The sequence below is a fragment of the Homo sapiens genome, chromosome 4, assembly GCF_000001405.40.
Source record: "Homo sapiens chromosome 4, GRCh38.p14 Primary Assembly".
Classification (NCBI taxonomy): Eukaryota; Metazoa; Chordata; class Mammalia; order Primates; family Hominidae; genus Homo; species Homo sapiens.
In genome coordinates, this window is record NC_000004.12 from 177,428,821 (window position 1) to 177,442,961 (window position 14,141).

At 39.7% G+C, this 14,141-nt stretch overlaps 1 protein-coding gene and 1 long non-coding RNA gene across 9 annotated transcripts in view, besides 2 other annotated features; one reads left to right on the top strand and one right to left on the bottom strand.

Annotated features, from left to right (window-relative positions):
* AGA (aspartylglucosaminidase) lies at positions 1,954–13,617 on the bottom strand. Of its 4 annotated transcripts, none has more exons than NM_001171988.2 (9): positions 13,429–13,617; positions 11,453–11,606; positions 10,756–10,868; positions 9,925–10,037; positions 8,585–8,699; positions 7,478–7,531; positions 5,562–5,661; positions 4,394–4,527; positions 1,954–2,988 (listed from the first exon to the last, which is right to left on the bottom strand). In NM_001171988.2, the coding sequence occupies exons 1-9, from the start codon at positions 13,553–13,555 to the stop codon at positions 2,888–2,890; spliced, it is 1,011 nt and encodes a 336-aa protein (NP_001165459.1). In that variant the 5' UTR covers positions 13,556–13,617; the 3' UTR covers positions 1,954–2,887. The 4 variants fall into 4 exon arrangements, 3 of the variants coding, with proteins under 3 accessions (NP_001165459.1, NP_000018.2, XP_047305678.1); NM_000027.4 differs by having other exon boundaries at positions 5,562–5,669; positions 7,456–7,531; NR_033655.2 differs by lacking the exon at positions 7,478–7,531 and having other exon boundaries at positions 5,562–5,669.
* Positions 12,663–12,742: an enhancer, noted in NCBI's record as "active region_22170". NCBI's record gives its function as "activates an Ori minimal core promoter by ATAC-STARR-seq in GM12878 lymphoblastoid cells {active_cell/tissue: GM12878}" and the evidence as "EXISTENCE:reporter gene assay evidence [ECO:0000049][PMID:35858748]".
* Positions 13,569–14,112: an enhancer, noted in NCBI's record as "H3K27ac hESC enhancer chr4:178363543-178364086 (GRCh37/hg19 assembly coordinates)". NCBI's record gives its function as "activates a minimal SCP1, AML or CMV promoter by ChIP-STARR-seq in primed H9 embryonic stem cells {active_cell/tissue: H9 hESC(primed)}" and the evidence as "EXISTENCE:reporter gene assay evidence [ECO:0000049][PMID:30033119]".
* The window catches only part of AGA-DT (AGA divergent transcript), a 255,397-nt gene continuing 254,949 nt past the window's right edge, over positions 13,694–14,141 (top strand). For all 5 annotated transcript variants that reach the window (NR_183786.1, NR_183781.1, NR_183795.1 and 2 more), the window contains exon 1: positions 13,694–13,761. This is a non-coding gene — a long non-coding RNA (AGA divergent transcript). The remainder of the gene's footprint in view (positions 13,762–14,141) is intronic.

The window sequence follows — 14,141 nt, forward strand, 5'->3', positions numbered from 1 at the left end:
AAAATCTTTACTACATACCGTGGTTAACATTTTCCTCTTTGCCTATTGTGCTAAAAACACAAAGCACTTGAGTGATGTTTATCTGAAGTCTCAGGAGTATTAATCAAGAAATTTTAATATTGCTAATATCAAAAATCAGTTTCTTTTTCTAAGTGGGGGTGTTAAATTGAGCTAAAAGAATGCTCAAACTACTGCCCACTACACTCCTAGGCTATTCTGTAATAGTAATGTTATGAGATGAAAGGTGTAAGCAGAAAACAGGAGAGAATAGAATCAGGTGGCAAGTACTTATACCTCTTTCCATATACATACTTATTATATATGTATACATATACATATATACTTTTCTCTTTATATATATCTACATGTATCTATAGATATTGTCACTTGATATATATTGTCACTGAAATTTTTATCCATTTAGAGAGAAAGAGAATACAAAAGCTGATAATAAAAATCTAAGTGACAATATGTTCGTTCTCAGAATCACTTAGAAAAGTTGCTTAATCCATATATGTGCTTAGGACAATCTAATTTCACCTTAGCAGTAGGCAAGTGATAGAACATTTTTTTATAAGATCAAAGGAAAACAACAACAACAACAAAAAGCAACTTGCCAGAATGGGGAAGAAAATTCTGCAACTAGATCCCTTACCTTATGCTATGTAATAGCCATGCAATCTATACAATGATACAACCAGGACAGATGTGAGGCAAACCATTAACTACTGTCTGGCATAAAAAGTTAAATCAAGTCCAGCTGCGGTGGCTCACGCCCGTAATCCCAGCACTTTGGGAGGCCGAGGCAGGTGGATCACAAGGTCTGGAGTTTGAGGCCAGCCTGACCAACATGGTGAAACCCCATCTCTACTAAAAATACAAAAATTAGCCGGGTGTGGTGGCGGGTGCCTGTAGTCCCAGCTACACGGGAGGCTGAGGCAGGAGAATGGTGTGAACCCATGAGGCGGGGCTTGCGGTGAGCCGAGATCGCACCACTGCACTCCAGCCTGGGCGACAGAGTGAGACTCCGTCTCAAAACAAAAAAAAAAAAAAAAAAAGTTAAACCATGATTACATTTTCTAAGGCTCCCTTCCCAAGTTACTTTCTTGCTTTTCCCATTTTAGTGAACCGCTTCCAAATTCAATGTATTTCTGATTGGCTCACAATTCTCTTTCCCAGCTGTGTTATTAATATTTCACCAGTTTCCTACATGTATTTCCCACAACCCCCGTGAACACTGGTATCACATCATCAAAGAAGTTCCCTCCGTATACAACATCACTAGGGACACACAAACAATTCTTTTCAAAAGAAGACACACCTATATTATTTAAATAATATTACAGTCAAAACTGAATTTTACGAATGTATTTACAAAGTAATTCCATTACTTAAGAAATATAGGGAAATTATTTCTCTGAGGAAGAATGCGACTTAAAAAGAAAACATCTTTTAGAAACATATGTGGATTGCTTTTGTCAGCTCAACTCCCAATTTGCTGGGAAGTGACAGGCCATGAATACTTCATTCTCCTTTTCCTGGTGATTTTGTAAATGACTGCCTTATTTATTAATGGAAAGCAAATATACAAAAGTATCATCTTAATGTAACCGCAAGTTTAAATCTGATTTTTTTCTTTTTCCAAGGCCCAGCACCAGGTTTAAGCAGGTTAGCATACCTCAGATAACCCTGGAGGAAGATTCCTTCTCTGAGAGTGTGAAGCTGTAGGGCTGCCATTAGTAGTTGCTAATTCCAGGTTTCAAGTCCTCACTTATGGAGAATCTGACTTAGTGGGACAGAGGGCATTTTTAAAGAAAGAGGCTCCCCAAACAATTCTGATACACAGCAAGGTCCCAGAACAAGTGACTTACACTGTTCTTAAAATGATAGCTTTCTCCCCTAAATTAGAAAGAACATAAGATGAGCATAGAAAAAACAGCTGAAATTCTAAAGTTTGAATATCGTACATGTACATTTATTAATGACTGTTGATTAAAAAGATGATTTTGAAGGAAAAATGCTGCTGAGAAAGCACGCGCACAACTTCTGTAGAGTTGTCATACAGAGAGTTAATCAGAAGTTAGGGAAACAAACCAAGCTAAACAACCCATTTCTTGACTTCTAATTGCCATACCCACCTCTGCACAAGGAATTAGTAAAATTACAGTACAGATCAAGTTCCCCAAATCATTTTTAAAAGAAACGATCAATACTAAATATTAGCAGCTAAAACATCATTGATTCTTGTGGCTTTAGAACTTTCACACACTGAGAGCTCCATAAGAGGAAAAAAGCAAAGAAAATCAACACAATTGCTCATCAGAAGATAGCTGTATTTTCTAGTATGTACAAAACAAAGAGTATCTCATGTTCTATCATCTTCCTTCCTCAAGTTTTTAGGGAATATTAAGTAAAACCAATAATCAGTGCTAAGACATGCATCACTGTGACATAATGAAATTCAATCAGGACTGATCATGCTGAGACTCTGCTGTTTTTTTCTTTGGGTCTAAAAAACTTGTATACTCTATTTTAAGCATCCAAATATGATGATTCCTTTTGGGTTTAATATATCACTGTGGAAATAAATCTCAAAGTAGCAATTTTTTGCAACACTGATCAGAAATCCAAGTGTCACTTAAAACTTAAATATATACAAAATACAGCCACATACATATTCATCTTCAGATAATATAAGAAAGGTTAAATAAAAATAGATAATACAATTTCAGATATAGAAAGTGCCAATTCAACATAAATTTATTTTTGTGTTTATTTTACAAAAAGACTTTAGAACACATGAGGAACACTAGATGATGAGAGTGAGCAGCCTTTTCAGCCTTTGTTTCTTTCTTCTTTAAATACAGATGTTGACAGTAAAGATGGATTAGATGCAGTCCACTTTTTCCTCAGTTGGCTGATTTTTTTCGGAATTATAAACCATGAAACTAAACTGAGTAAATGTTGAAAGTTTATTGCAAGCAGCACCTGGGGCCAAAAATGAGAAAGAAGTTTGGTGAACTATAGGATGCACATATTTATAACCAATACAGATACTGCTTATTTGACTAGACACTGGCTACTGTATACCTTATGTCTAAGCCACATGGAAATACACTAGTGTCATCCTCCTCAGAACTGAGCAGTGAACAGTCCATGAAAGGAATGAGGTAGCTGGTAAACTATCTCTTTGAACTTCAGAAAACTGGCTGGTTTTTGTTGTTGTTGTTGATCTATACACATGCTGTCACTGCTACGATTATTTAACTGTTCTTACGTGTTTTTCTTAGAAAAAACTATTCAGGCACATCTCCCACATTTTATTTCTCTAGCCACTAGAACATTCTCATCATTCATTCATAACCCCATACCCCACCATTGCTCCCTATTCTTCTACTCTCACAGGAAGAGTCAAGAGTAATTTGTCAAGATGCTTTGTCTAATCAAGTTCATCTTCTCATGCTCAAACACCTGGGGGAGGGTCCTCTTTGGTCATTAAATAGAAGAAACTAGTCACCTGTAAATTCATCCACAATTATATAATTATCATTTTTTTCATTCTGTTAAATCCAACTTTGAGCTTTCTAATAAGGTTTATTTCTTAAGAGGGAATCAATAGAACTGCCTTATTTGATACATAAAGCTTTTCCCCTTCATAATTTTTATTGACTTTTGTGTCTTAGTGCTTAAAAAAGAATAAAGCATTCCTCAAACAAGTTTTTCAAATATAGAACTGTGGGAAGTAAAAGATCAAAGAACAATAATAAGCAGTCCAACCTAATAAGTCATATTGATCAGTAAGCTGTGTATCTTCCCCATCTGAAAATTCACTAATGAGAATCAGCAGTGGCTGATCTTAAAATGCTTTGAAACTGTGATAGGCTCATATGGAAAGTAAATGAAGTGAAAGACAAGCCTCAAACAGTGCAAAAATAATTCTGCTAACCTCTTCGGTTTACTAATTAGTAATACATTTTGTTCTTTGGAGCCCCGAGAAGATCTAAATGGCTGAGGCATTTAAATAATGAATAGAAAAGAAATAGGGAAGATAATTTATCCTTGTCTATTTTTAATTAGTATAAACATTTGACTAGATTAGCCTATGTCAACGTGTACTGGAGCTGAAGCTAAACTTCATTTAAGACACATGTGAAAGATAAGAACTACTAGTCAGAGACTGGGTCATAACTACCAGCAGTCAATCCAAAGAGGCTTTTAGGTATATTTTTAACGCTGTGGGTCTTGAGATCATCAATGAACATTTACTCAATGCCCACTTAAGGAGTCTCTTTTTCTATTGAATATAGTGTATTGTACAAAACAATATTTAAAAAGTGTATGTTTTAGAAATATTTGGAAGTTCACACAAATACAAAATCCAAACACAACTTACCGTAACTTCCAGTCACATTGGCACATATAACAGCCCCAAAGAATTCTGGAAAATGCTTCTGGATTCTTGAAATCACTTTTTGGCAAGCTATGGTTGGATCTTCTCCTCTTCTCATGTATTCTACAGCTTGGTAGCTGATTGAAACAGAGGTGAAACCTTAGTGTCTCAGAATAAATACTAACTCCAAATTGGGTTACTTGAAGTTAGAAATTAAAACCACCAAAATTGCCACATGTGATAGAATACACATAAATGAACAAGAGTCGGTTACTTCTGTTAAAGCATCCACAAAGCAAGTCCACTTTGATACAGAGTCTATCTTTTCAACTAATCCACCCATGAATTTCAGATGTGGAATATTATTTTTGGCTTTGGCTGAATAACTGTCAGTAATGATACCGACAGTCAAATGTAATGGCCAGAACTCAAAAAGAATACAGATTTTCAATGAGAAAAACAGCTACAATCAAAGGGGAAAGTAGTGTGCATGGGCACAACATCTAGCTAGGGTGGTTAAAGGTACACGATGACTGCACTTCCTACTTTTACCATCAATTATCACAGCTCCTTTACTCAGTAGCTTTACATCAATTACTAAATAGATCATAAGTATTCTCATCTGGGAAGCAGGGTGAGAAATACTACTTTATTTCACAGGACTATGATTACTTAACTTGAATGATTATCATTATCAAAATGATAGGCAACAAGTTTGTATGCAGTTTCTAAGAAGCTCTTGTGCACAGAAATTCAGGTTACACAATACAAAAATTATGTTTTCTTTCTTTTATTTTCTTGAGACACAGTCTCATTCTTGTTGCCCACACTGGAGTGCAGTGGCGCGATCTTGGTTCACTGCAACCTCTGTCTCCCAGGTTCAAGCGATTCTCCTACCACAGCCTCCCGAGTAGCTGGGACTATAGACTTGTGCCACCATGCCCAGCTAAATTTTTTGTATTTTTAGTAGAAACGGTCAGGAGTTCGAGACCATGTTGGCCAGGCTGGTCTCAAACTCCTGACCTCAGGTGATCCACCTGCCTCAGTCTCCCAAAATGCTAGGATTACAGTCGTGAGCCACTGCACCCAGCCTCAAAAATTATTTTCTATCTTAAAAGAAAAAAATATCTTCTCCAAAGGTCTCTAAAATTCACAAACTAAGAAGTCATACCTTGGCAGGAAGCGCATCAATATATCACCATTCCCAGTGGCTGCGGCTGCCCCTGCAGTATCGTCAGCATAGGCTCCAGCTCCAGGTATTGGTGAGTCTCCTACACGGCTTTGAGAGGGTATTAACAATTTACGGCAGGAAATCGAGTGTAAAACACATTAAGTCATAAGCTGTTCCAAATAAGGGATAGTTCCACTTAGCCTCTGATACCGTTTTAAGTAAATTCTTCATCGGAACAAAGACAGAACAGGTCTTCATTAGTTTTTTAACTAAGGTTTTCACAAACCTGCATTAATTATGTAAGAATTTGTTATCAGACGTGGAGTGTACAACAGCTGAACTCACAGAAACAGAGACTAAAATGGTGGTTACTGGAGGCTGGGGGGAGGGGGACCTGGCGAGATGCGGGTCAAAGGACACACAATTCCAGTTAGGCAGGAGGGTAAGTTCCAGAGGCCTACTGCGGATCATGCTGACTAAGGTTAATAACAATAGAGTGCACATTTGAAAACTGCGAAGTAGATTTTTTTTTTTTGAGACAGGAGTCTTGCTCTGTCACCCAGCTGGAGTGCAATGGCATTGATCTTGGCTCACTGCAACCTCCGCCTCCTGGGTTCAAGCGATTCTCCCTGCCTCAGCCTCCTGAGTAGCTGGGACTACAGACACGAACCACCAAGCTCAGCTAATTTTTTGTATTTTTTTTTTTTTCAGTAGAGACTGGGTTTCACCATGTTGGCCAGGCTGGTCTCGAACTCCTGACCTCAGGTGATCTGCCTGCCTTGGCCTCCCAAAGAGCTGGGATTACAGGCGTGAGCCACTGCACCCAGCTGAAAACTGCTAAGTAGATTTTAAGTGTTCTCACCATAATAAAATAGGTCTGTGAGATAATAAGTTAAATAGCTTGATTTAGCCATTCTACAACATATACATATATCAAAGTATCATGTTGTACACCACAAATACACATAATTTTCATTGTCATTAAAATTAATTTTTTAAAAGAACTTGTTATCAGCCAGGTATATACCAGGATGGCACAGATTTACAGTGACTATTCTATTATTACCATCCTTTATCATCTAATTTCCAGATGATTGCAACATGTTCAAAATTGGTTTCCCTCATCTATAATCTATTTCCGCTTCCTATGTAATGTGCCAAACTTTTACCAGATTTTTTTCTAGTAAGAAATGTTTAATGCTTTTCTATTTCAAAATTAAATCCAGAATGCCTTCAACTGACTTAAGACTCCTTAAATCTGGCCCCAGTCTTCCCTTGTAGTCTTATCTTCCAATACCACTTCCCCTACCCCAAAATACACACACACCCCCACACCCCTTCTTCCCTAGCCAGTGGGAGCCCTGAATACACACACACACACCCACACCAGTGGGAGCCCTGAGCGTGCACGCACACGCACACATACACACACACACCCCTTCTTTCCAAGCCAGTAGTTCTGCGTGCACGCACACACACACACACACACACACCCCTTCTTTCCAAGCCAGTGGGAGTTCTGAACACATGCACACATACACACACCCCAGTGGGAGCCCTGAACACACACACACATATACACACACAACTTTCCTAGCCAGTAGGAGCGCTGAACCTCAACTACCATGACTCAGGGCTGAGCTCCAAGCATCACTTTACTGGTGTTCCTAACTACCCCAGCTTAAAGAGATCACCTCTGCCACCCCTAAACCCTATAGCACTGGCTGTGACTCCCTCTCCTGTGGCACTCAGCAGAGAGTACTGCATTTTCTTTCACACTCATTCATCGCAGCTGTGAGACTAGGGCTGTGCTTTGCAACCCCCATAGCACCCGGCATATATTGCTCTGCATTCAGTGTATATTTGAGAGCTCTGTTCTTTTGGAAACACTAACCCATGTATTTTGAATTTTATACCATTTGTAGATGTACCAGCAGCAATATGTCCTGTCTTATGGATTACAACCATGCCTAGAAGTTAAAAAAAAAAAATCACTGTAGGTGTATAAAGTTTACCTCAAATATAACCAAATAATTGAGCAACTGGTAATAACTGCTGTGCTCTGAATGTTTGTGTTCCCCCAAATTCATGTCAACATCCTATTCCACAAGGTGATGGTATCAAGAGGTGAGGCCTTTGGGAGCTCATTAGGTCATGAGGACAGAGCCCCCATGAATGGAATTCATCCCTTATAAATGAGGCCCCAGAGAGCTTCCTCGCCCCTTCCACCACGTGACGACACAGCAAGAAGACGCCATCCATGAGCCAGGAAAACAAGCTGTCTCCAAACTCTGAACCTGCCAGCGCCTTGACCTTGAACTTCCCAGCCTCCGTAACTGTGAGAAATAAATTTCTGTTGTTTATAAGCCATCCAGTCTGGGTATTTTGTTAACTGCCACTATAACAGGCAATTAACATTATTAATTATTATTAACAGGTGGGGCCTTTAAGAGGCGATTAGGCTAAAAGGGCTTAATGCCATTATCGCAGGGAGTGGGTTCCTGATATAAAGGATGAGTTCTACCCGATTTCCTGTCTCATTCTCTTGACTTCCACCTTGGGATGGCCCTTGCCAGATGCCAGTGCCCTGTTCTTGAACTTCTCAGGCTCCAGAACTGTGAGGCAAATAAACTTTTGTTTATAAATTACCCAGTCTGTGGTAGTCTGTTATAACAGCGAAAAACAAACTAAGACATAGACTAATGTAAATTTTCAACATTGTAACTTGGAAAAAGTTATTTAAGGTCACTAAAATACAGCAACATAAAACTGCCAAAAAATGAAATGTCAAATAAAGATTTAAAAATCCGCAAGTGAATAGTCATTGGGTTTTAGGTGTCTTGTATAAATAATTTGCCAAATTTTATACAGATCCTAAGACAAGATGGATCTATCTATAGAGAGGCACACTTAATTGGCAGTTAAAACAATCAAAATCAACTTCTGGTAGAAGAATAGGGAAGAGCTACAGGAAGATAATTAACTAAACTTTATCCATAAAAACTGCACAAAAGGCAAATTACCAATAGTGTCATGACCACGATCATCTTCTGTTTCTTTATGGATAGGAATATCCTGCTTTAAGATACCAGGTGGTTTGTAGGGTCCGCAGTATTTTGAGGGATCTGGTATAACATTCTGTAAACAAGATTTAAGTTTTATTTCTTACAAAGGGTATTTTTAGAAATTGCCAAGAAATTATGTACAATCGCTAAACACTAGCAAGAAACCAAAAAAAGACATCTGGTAACTTAAAGATAAGAATTAAAAGCTAAGAAATCACTAAGTCTTATATAAAAACAAATAAGATAAATAATTTTACTGAATATCCATTCTAGTCTAAGAATTAAATAATACAGGTGAGGTATCTATATTGCATGACACAGGTCCCTAATTTCTCTCTTTATATATATCTAAAATTCTCAACACAATAGTAAAATTTTTTAAAATTAGATATTAATCCTTAAAGAAATTAGATACACACTGGACCTTTAAATTTCAGAAATTTGTTCCTTGGCCAAAGAATTCTGAGACTTAAAGTAAAATATGTTTTAAAAGCTTTTATTGTTTCTTCAAAGCTAGGTTTATGTGAATATATTCTAAGTTGTGCTTTAAGATTCCTTTATAAATCTAAAGGGCTCAAGAATATAATGCAAACTCATAAATTTAGGTTGTGTATGTAGACTGGTATTAAAGCAAGAAACCTATTCCTATTCCTCATGTCTTACACATCAGTGCGCTAGGTGCCTCCCCTAACTTCGTTTTATGATTAGCCTCTTTCAAGTGCTAACCCAAGGGACTTCTGACTTGATGGCTACTCGAAAGTAATTAGGACTTAGGGAAGAAATAGATGAGAGACTAAGATATCCCACAGAAGGACCCTGTACGGCAAAGGCAAACTGATTTATGCCAAAAGTCTCATTAAAGAAAAATTATTCCACTGGTAACATACTAGACATGTAATATTACATGTCCTCAAGTCAAGAACAAGATACTGGATACACTGCACGTAAAATCTAAGAAATATTTTAGACTCATAGTTTCCAAACTGATTTTTTAGACTTAGTTAGAAAGAAATACAAGCAGAGCAGCCCTGATTGAGGCAGCCACCTCCACATGGCAGAAACTTCAGTTTGAAAACTATTGTGAGAGACCAGTAGCTCTCCATGCTGGATATGCACCCAATGCAGCTAGAGGTGTTTCAGGAACATCCATACCTGGAGAGTCAACTAAAACCACTAGTTCTAATGTACAGCCAGGATGCTAACCAGTACCCTGGACAACAGGCAGGCAACACTGAGCAGAAAGGATGTCACTGAATATTTTCAATTAACTTATTTTTTTAAATTAAATGTGTGCATACCCTCCAATAATTTGGCTGGCAATTCCGAGCAAGCCAATCTGAATGAAGAGCTTGAGAAGCAGTGGTAGATAAGTCTTCATTGATAAACCCCATACTTTGAGCAAATGTGGTGGCTGGAGATTGGAAAAAAGGAAAGTATAAATTATTCAAGTATTGTCTTTTCAACAAAAATATATGTACTAGAGACATTCTGGGTCAGCAGCATCTTAAGTGAGCTACACAAAGACTTTCAAAGGAATATTCACACATGAACAGTTTTAAGAGACTCAATTTTTAGACCTTCGATTTCCTTATGCCTTTCCTAAAACAGATCCACTTAAAACCTTTGGGGCATGCATTATAAGAGTTCTCGTCCCGGCCAGGCGCGGTGGCTCACACCTGTAATCCCAGCACTTTGGGAGGCTGAGGCGGGTGGATCACGAAGTCAAGAGATTGAGACCATCCTGGCCAACATGGTGAAACCCCGTCTCTACTAAAAATATAAAAATTAGCTGGGCATGGTGGCACGTGCCTGTAATCCCAGCTACTTGGAAGGCTGAGGTAGGAGAATCACTTGAACCCAGGAGGCAGAGGTTGTCGGGAGCTGAGATCGCGCCATTGCACTCCAGCCTGGGTGACAAGAGCGAAACTCCGTCTCAAAACTTCCATTGCCTTCTTCTTAGAGATGAAGAAGTAAAGAGATTTAAAAGTTACTTATCCAGTTCAATAGATGTTAAGTAAAACAGCTGGAATTTGAACTTAGATCTGGTTTTATCCATGATTTTGTACTATTTTTCAGTGAAAACTATAGTCAAAAGACTAGAAAAAATTTCAGTGTAGTTAAAAAAATACCTGACTCTCCTACTAAAAGTGTGTGTGTTGTATGTTCCAGTACTTTCCGTGCCACACCAATAGCATTTTTAATTCGTCTGAGATCTCCTACTGCTCCTACATCCATAGTAGTGCTGCAAGAAAATAGAATGCAGTTAGGAATTAAGGAGTTTTCAGAGGTTCATAGATTAAAAACATTGCTTTTCTCCAATCAATAGTGTTTTGCGGTTAAACTCCACCATCTTAACACAGAAGTGACAGCACATCCACGAAGTTCATATAGATTCCCACAATCAGACAAAATTAAGGAAAAAAAATAGAAAATCAACTTGCCATGTACCACAACAGCACTAAAATTCTCAGTTTCTCCAAGCTAATTTTAAATATGGCTTTTGAAAGGGGCCTGAAGGCTTCAGGTCAGGCAAACCACAGCATTTGTGGACAGCAGATAAATGATTGTTTATAAGGTCAGAGACATAGTTTTTTAGCTTGGCATTCTCCCAGTTCTAAGGGACTACCTATCTCTCCATGTGATATTTCTATTACTCTGATTTTTTTTTTTCAGTTGAGAGGGAAACTGTGTTTAGAAAGGTCAAGTATAATAAGCTAGGGGTTTTGATCTGTGTCAAAACTCATGCATTCTTTCATCTTGCTCTCAGAAGACCACAACTCTAAATGTAACTCAACATAATAAATAGGACCTGAACGGTGTTCTTACCCATCCATGATCATGGCATCTAGTGTGGTTTCTCCAAGTTCATCAGGACTTCCTCCAAAGCCTACAGAGCCGTCACACTGCTCTCTCTCACACATGGCACAGCCGCTCTCCACTGCATCCAGGGCAGAGCCTCCAGATGCTAATGCCCTCCACGCTGTTAATCAAATCCCAATAATGCTTGTTTATATATATATTTTTTTTTCAATGCCAAATGCAACAAACCAACTCCAATTTAACAACTTTTTCACATTTACTGAGTTAAGCTGATTTTTTAACACATTAGTTTATCAAGTGTTACAAAGGAGTCAGTGAAGAGTCAAAATTATTTAACTAGTTATCAGAAGAACTCAAAAAACTGGCTATTGGTGCAAGCTGAAGGTTTTTTTTTTTTTCACTTACTAATATCTATCTCTTCTGTGTGCGAGAAACGAAATCAGTATCCCCTCCTTTATTTTAAAAGGTACAATCGAAACCACTAAAAGGCAGTTAAATAAAAAATCCACTAAACCGCAGCCTTCTTCACACATTTCTTCTGCATCATTAGATTAAAATATGCATAATTGATATGTGTATTGAGGTAACACCTATCCCAGGAAGTCTTAATAATACTGAACAGCAAACAATTACAACGTGGACTTCATATGGATTAGTTCATTGAGTCTTCATAACAGCTTCTGTGGTAGGTACTGTACAATCACGACCCTCATTTTAAAGAAAAGTAAACAGAGCCACAGGTCAGGCAGTTAGTTTAAGGTCACACAGCTGGTAAGTAGCAGAGCCAGGATCCCATACATTTGGGGGTGTGGGGGGAAGGGTCTTTGATGGACAATTTCTTTTCTGGTAACAACAGAATTCCTTGAAGAGTGGGTGCTCTGGTTGGTAAACACTACAGCACCTACAGGCTTGAAAGTGTATTTACGCAAGTTCCCTCTTTCAATACAGGCAACTTAAACACAGAACTGTCCCCCGCCCAGGCTGATGCAATTTCTTTTCGTCTCATTATGGCTGGGAATATCTTTCTCACAGCCTGCTTCTTCATTTTCTCTGAATCGTATGCACTGCCACCAAATTCTGGAGCCAATTCTGCCCTAGAAAGTTAATACGTTAGCAACCTCAGATGGAGGAGGAGGGGTCTGAAAATGACTCTTCTGGTCATTAAGCAAATGAAAGAAACAAGCATAGTACAATGCGAAAATGCCAAGATAATGGTACGTAAAGGCTATTAACAAGGTGTAGAAGGCAGGAACCTAACTCATTCTGGACACGAGGGCAGTTAAGTCAGGGAACGCTTCCTGGAAGAGGTGATACCTTAGCTTAGTGGTTCTCAACCCTGTCTGCAAATCGAAATCACCTAGGGAGCTTTTTAAAGAAAAACAGTGGCCCTGATTCCAGCAGTTAGATCACAGTCACAGGAGGTGGGCCCCGGCAGGATGATTTTTGAGAAGCTCCCCAGATAGTGTGAATGTACAGCAAAGGTTGGAACCTTGAATTCTAAGTGGCAGGTAAAGTATGACAACACGTGGCAAAAAAAGTAAATGGGAAAAGAGTAGGCTATGGCTGGGACACTATTAGTCGTCTACAAAATTGCAAAGAAGTGAAGGATTAGAAACGAGAGGTGGAGACGTACACAGCCCGTGAAAAGACTGTCAGGCAGAAAAGCGTAGCTGCTACTTGATTAAAGCACAAAGGCCATAACTATGGTCAGCAGCAGGGTGGAAAATACATTGCGCTGGGGGCTGCATGAAGGGAGGACCTAAAATGCAACAGCGGTAGGTGGGGAGGATGCAGTAAAGGCCACTTGCAAGAGACTGAGCGGCGCTGGAGACTCGGGAAGACCTAGAGGGCGGGACCGCGAGGCCCGGCCCAGCCCGGCGCTCTTCCGTCCGCCCTGCCGGGTGACTGCAGCGGGGCGGGCTAGTCATCCCCACCCGCAAGCTCTCGCGGCGCAGCCGCCCGCCCAGGCCGCCAACCCGCACCTGCTTCGGTTGCATTCTTAAAGGGCCAAGTGTTGACGACCAGGGGCAGAGGGCTGGAGCAGCGCACTAGGGCCTGGCAGAGCAGAAACGGCACGAGAAGCACAGGCAAGTTCGACTTCCGCGCCATCCCTGACCACCGAAGAGACCAGCGCGAGAAAAGTCCCGGCAGCCAGCGATCGCCGAACAATTAATCCCCAGTGCCCCGCCCGCCTGGCGCCCACGCCCGCTCTCTCGGGGGTTCGCTCAGGCGTCCCTCAACTCTCGCGAGACGAGGCGTCCCTGGGCCCGCGGGAGAGTTGTGTCACGGGGCACTGAGCTGTTCCCTGCGCTAAGGTGCTTCTTCCTAAGTGCTGTTCAGATTTTTAAAATAGCCAGACAAGTTGCTGCTTTTCCTGTGGTTAAAATAGATTTAGCTTGATATTGGGAATTTAATACAAAATTATTCAACTCTGGGTTGCAGGGCCCCAGGAACTTTAGCCGATTGCTGTGTACTATGGATTTGGTTCTTTTACTGTCTTTTTAATTTAAAGTTGAAGTTGAAAAGTTTGTCAAACTCAGTATATTCTTGGGGATCCCAGGCCTCGGAGGTCTGCAATAGTTATGAGTGTAGGTGAAGCGTGTTTGCTTAGGACCGGATTGATTTTAGATTTTTTTTCCATTCATAGCGTCCGTCATTTTCGCACCACAGCTTTTTGTAGCACTTCCTCTCATTA

Coding starts and splice junctions, on each gene's coding strand:
- AGA (NM_000027.4), bottom strand. CDS start 13,555: ATGGCGCGGAAGTCGAACTTGCCTGTGCTTCTCGTGCCGTTTCTGCTC. Junction 11,607..13,428: donor TAAGAATGCAACCGAAGCAG/GTGCGGGTTGGC, acceptor TTTGATTAACAG/CGTGGAGGGCATTAGCATCT. Junction 5,670..7,455: donor ATAAAATTCAAAATACATGG/GTTAGTGTTTCC, acceptor ACCCTCTCAAAG/CCGTGTAGGAGACTCACCAA.